The sequence below is a fragment of the Homo sapiens genome, chromosome 16 (genome assembly GCF_000001405.40).
Source record: "Homo sapiens chromosome 16, GRCh38.p14 Primary Assembly".
Taxonomy (NCBI): Eukaryota; Metazoa; Chordata; class Mammalia; order Primates; family Hominidae; genus Homo; species Homo sapiens.
The window spans coordinates 56,857,657-56,862,507 of NC_000016.10; the positions used below are offsets into that span (position 1 = coordinate 56,857,657).

The 4,851-nt window shown below is 52.6% G+C and overlaps 1 non-coding gene across 1 annotated transcript, besides 1 other annotated feature; it reads left to right on the forward strand.

Moving 5' to 3' along the window:
* Positions 1-861: 861 nt before the first annotated feature.
* On the forward strand, positions 862-945 carry MIR138-2 (microRNA 138-2). The gene has a single exon (NR_029680.1). It is a non-coding gene; the product is annotated as a microRNA 138-2 (primary transcript).
* Positions 2,627-3,026: an enhancer, noted in NCBI's record as "active region_10853". NCBI's record gives its function as "activates an Ori minimal core promoter by ATAC-STARR-seq in GM12878 lymphoblastoid cells {active_cell/tissue: GM12878}" and the evidence as "EXISTENCE:reporter gene assay evidence [ECO:0000049][PMID:35858748]".

A 4,851-nucleotide genomic window follows, 5' to 3' on the forward strand; every position in this document is an offset into this window, starting at 1 on the left:
CAATCCTCCCACCTCAGCCTCCCAAAGCTCTGGGATTACAGGCGTGAGGCACCACACCTGGCTGGGAGTTCTTCCTTTAACAATGAAAATGTCTTAACTCATCATATATGTTTCCTTTTTTGCTTTAGCTATCGATAGCTTCAATTACCTTAGTGTCTAACTGCTATAACATTGTCCAGGTAGAGGACCAGGACTGCAATAGACACACCTGTGTGCTCCTCAAGGCTCAATTTCTTTCTTTTTTTTGAGACAAAGTCTCACTCTGTCACCCAGGCTGGAGTGCAGTGATGCAATCTCGGCTCACTGCAACCTCCACCTCCTGGGTTCAAGCGATTCTCCTGCCTCAGCCTCCCAAGTAGCTGGCATTACAGGTACCTGCCACTGCGCCTGGCTAATTTTGGTATTTTTAGTAGAGACGAGGTTTCACCATCTTGGCCAGGCTGGTCTTGATCTTCTGACCTCGTGATCCACCCGCCTCAGCCTCCCAAAGTGCTGGGATTACAGGCGTGAGCCCCTGCACCCGTCCTCAAGGCTCAATTTCTTGGTCCTGGTTGCTGGAGAGGTTGCAGTCCAGCCTCTGGCTTCCCAGGCCTTCCCAGTGCTCAGTACCTCCATTGTTTCTCTGCACCCCCTGCATTGTACAGGTTTTTTTTTTATGTCTGTTCCCCTCTTCCCCATGAACATCAAGTCTGTGAGCCCCTTGTGGGCAGGGACCCAGATTCCACCATATGCACCCCTGAGCCCTGGTGCCATACTGGCCTGGGGGAGCCATTGGTTGGGGAAGGTGTTGTATGGGTTCATCACTGTCTCAAAACCGGAGGAGCCACAGCCCAGAGGAGGAAGCCGGCGGAGTTCTGGTATCGTTGCTGCAGCTGGTGTTGTGAATCAGGCCGACGAGCAGCGCATCCTCTTACCCGGCTATTTCACGACACCAGGGTTGCATCATACCCATCCTCTCCAGGCGAGCCTCGTGGGACCGGGCCGGACGCAAGGACCTGGGGATGGGGTTGGGGTGGGAGTCTGTGTGTGAAAGCTTGTCCTCTGTAGCTCACTGGATCTCAGCCCAGACTGCTCCTCAGAATCACCTGGCAGCTTTCAAAAAACTCTGATGTCTGCCCCTCACCTCCTCTTGCCGAGGTCCACAGAATCTCCAAGGTGGGGCCCTGGAATCAGCATTGTTAGAGGTTCCAGTGTGATGCCGAAGTCTGTGAGTAGTCAAGGGTGGGCCCTGGAACTCATAGCCAGGGTCATTGTCTGTTCCAGCCTGATTGTTGCCATAGCCTTCACCTGGCCCTCCCTGGCCCCATTTCTTTCTGCCTTGCACCGTTCACCACACCACTGCTGCCCTGGGCCAGCTTTTCAGAAACAGATGGGGCCTGAGACCCCAGGACAAAGGCCAGGCTTCTTACCCTGGCCTTCAAGGCCTTCCCATCAGGGTTCTCTACTTGGAAACAATACAATAATTTCCCCCATAGAGCTCTCCCGTGTCCCTCCTTCCTTTGAACCCTGCCCCACACAAATCCACATGCTGGTTCTGTTGGCTCTGCCTTCAGAATCTGTCTCAGCTCCCAAACCTTCTTACCATCCTGCCATCCCACAGCTATTCCCCAAGTCTGGCCATCACTGTCCTGTACCTTCAATGGCCCCTGACTAGTTGTTTTTTTTTTTTTTTTTTTTTGAGACGGTGTCTTACTCTGTCACCCAGGCTGGAGTGCGATGGGGAAATCTCGGTTCACTGCAACCTCCGCCTCCCGGGTTCAAGCAATCGTCCCACCTCAGCCTCCCGAGTAGCTGGGATTACAAGCACCCGCAATCATGCCCAGCTAATATTTGTATTTTTGTAGAGACGGGGTTTCATTGTGTTGGTCAAGCTGGTCTTGAACTCCTGACTTCAGGTGATCTGCTTGCCTCAGCCTCCCAAAGTGCTGGGATTATAGGTGTGAGCCACCATGCCCACTGACTAGTCTTACCTAGCCCTTCTCCCTCAGCCCATTCTCCAGACAACAGCCAAAATAAGCTTGTAAAAATAAACCTGACCATTGTAGAATAGAATAGGACACTTCTAACCCTGGCCTATAAGGCTGGATGTTCCCTTTTACATGTCTTGAATGCCAACTCCTTGGTCCCTCTGCTCCAGCCACACAGGCCTCCTTGCCAGTCTCGAAGCCCACACCACAGTCCTGCCAGAGGGCCTTTGCACATGCTTTGCCCTCATCTGGAACCCCTGTGCTCATACCTGCTCACATGTGGGTGGCTCCTTCTCATTGTTGGAGCTTGGCTCGAATTTCTCAAAGAGGCCTAATGTACCCTTCCTAAGAAAAAAAAAGCTTTGTTTTCTTAACAGCACTTATCACTAAATGTATTATAATACTTGCTTGTTTATTTACCGTCTCTTCCATTAGAATGTGAGCTCTAGGAGGGCAGGGTCTCTGTCTTGTTCCCTGTGGTGCCTCCCTTGCCTAGCACAGGGCATGGTATGCAGTGGGCACTCAATAAACGCAGTGGAATGAAGAAACAATTGGATCCCTTTTAGCCTCATCTCCCAGTATTTCTTCCCTCCTTTCCCCACCCCACAGCACTATGTGGGCCTCAGTCCCACTGCCTCTCCCCCTGCAATGACCACACCCCTCCTGAGCTCCTTTCCCTCCTCTCCCCTGTCATCTCCCCTCCATCCTTACCCACACACCTCCCTTCCCCTCTCCCCTCTCCTTCCTCTGGACAGCCTTCCTCCTCTGCTGGCCAGTTGCATGATCTCCTTGCTGGTCTGTCTGCCAGGTTAGGCTGTGAGGTCCAGTGCTTGGTACACAGGAGGAGCACAATAAATGCTGAGTTGCCTCTGTAGCCGCAAAGACAGGAGGCCCTGAGATTCTGAGGTTGCAGCAGGGCCTTCTGTCCTCACCATTTCAGGACCTGCATCTGGGGTTTCTGCTTCTCTGGGGTTTCCGCATCTGTGGTTTCCTGACGGCTGAAAGTTTCAGTTTCTTCACTGCTCCTGTTCTGTCTGAGAGCCAGGAGATCCGAGGGGCCCACTGCACTCAGCCAGGGGCGAGGGATGCCTGGTAGAAGTGTCATTTCTATTTTGCTGCTGCAAAGCTGATGTTCACCCAGGTCAATTTCACGCTCAAAGTCATACAGAAACGGCGAGAACTGAGACTCTGCGGCCAAATCAAGGGCTTTGCTCCAGGTACACAGAACCTCAGATCAGAAAGGCCTGGCCCATGGGTTCTCCTGGAAGCCAGAGTCCTGAAAGGTAGGGACTGTGTGTGACCTAGCACTGTGTCCCCACCAACCATCAAAAAGAGTGCCTCTGTAAACATTTCTGAAATTGATTAAATTCCATCCAAATGCAGGCTTCCCCTTCCTGGGGGTCTGTGCTTTGGGACAAGGTGTCTGCAGTCTCTTGGCATGTCCTATGATGAGTCCTTCGAGGGGACCTGCTAAAACCCTCTCTTACCCCATAGAGAGGCAGAGGGGCAGAAGAGGTTTCTTGAAGCAGCAAATGTACCCCTCCAGAGCAGAAAGGGACTTTGGAGCTGTCTAGGCCAGGGTTTTCTGGAGGGAGGAGCAAGTGACTTGCCCAAGGTCACCCTTGGCAAGCACAGTCAGGGCCCCTCACTCTGCCCAGGACCACAGCACTGCTGGAAACCAGCCCAGGCCCCCTCAGGCTCCTTCCTCTGTGAGATCTTAATCAAGAATTTTCCACAGCTGCCCAGGGACAGGGTGTGTAGGAATGGTGTGAGCAGATAAAGGGCAGCTGTGATTTTCGCCAGTCAAATGGCAGTTTAAAAGGCAGACGAGTGATAAGATCTACCCCGAGGGCCCAGTGGGAGGTAATGAGCAGAGAGAGGCCTCCACAAATCCTCTCCCCTAACAAAGCCAGGGTGGGGCCCTCAAGCCTTCAGCCCCACTGGCAGATGCCTCTCTGAGGAGGGGCTGGGAATCCAGGGAAGTGGGTAGGGAGGCCTGTGGGTCATTAAGAGGCGCCCTGAGAAGATTTAAAAATTAACACATATGGTAAATGTATAAGCTTTGCAAAAAAAAAAAAGTGCACAGTGATCGTAACATTTGGGGTTTGTCATTGAGGTCCTGTTATCCTCAGCTCACCTCTAGATGCGAAACTAGAGGCCGAATGCTGAGCTGGGAGGGCCTGTGGAGTGGCCACTTTCATCAGCCCCGCTTGGGGTCATTCTGTCAGCCAAGGATTTCCATGGAATCACCCTTTGCCCTCTTTGCTTCTGCGTCCCCTTCATAATTCAACAAGCGTTTGTCGAATACCCACTCTCTACTGTTTTGTTGCTTGGGATCATCCCTGAACAAAGCAGGGCCAGATCCCTGCGCTTGTGAGTCTAACAAGGTGGATGAAATTTCTGTCTCCTCCCTAGAAAAGTGCACTGACGTATGAAAACTTATCCATGATTTTGTGGGACTCCTAGACACTCATCTTGGAGGTGGATTCCCCAACAGTGTTTGCTGCCCTAACACAGGCTGAGCATTTCATCTACCCCTTCTGCCTGGCCCTACAGCTGGGTGGGTACACCTGTCCCCAGCACCTCTGGAAGAGGAGTAAGAGGTTAGCAAGAGGGACAGAGTGAGCCAGCCAGGCCTTCCTGTGAGTTCTCAATCATCCAGTGCTGACTGGCTGTTGGGGGTCATGGAGCCCTAAGGATTTCGAGCACCATGGAGCCAGTCCTCTGGGGGACCTGTGTGAACTCTGTGAGCCCAAGCCCGAGAGGCAGGGCTAGGGAGGGAGAGGAAGTATGTCCCTCCATGTCCCTCCCAAGGATGACCAGAGCTACAGCATAAGCCAAGCTCAGATGTCTACAGCTGGCAATAGCCTTTCTATCCCCTGCC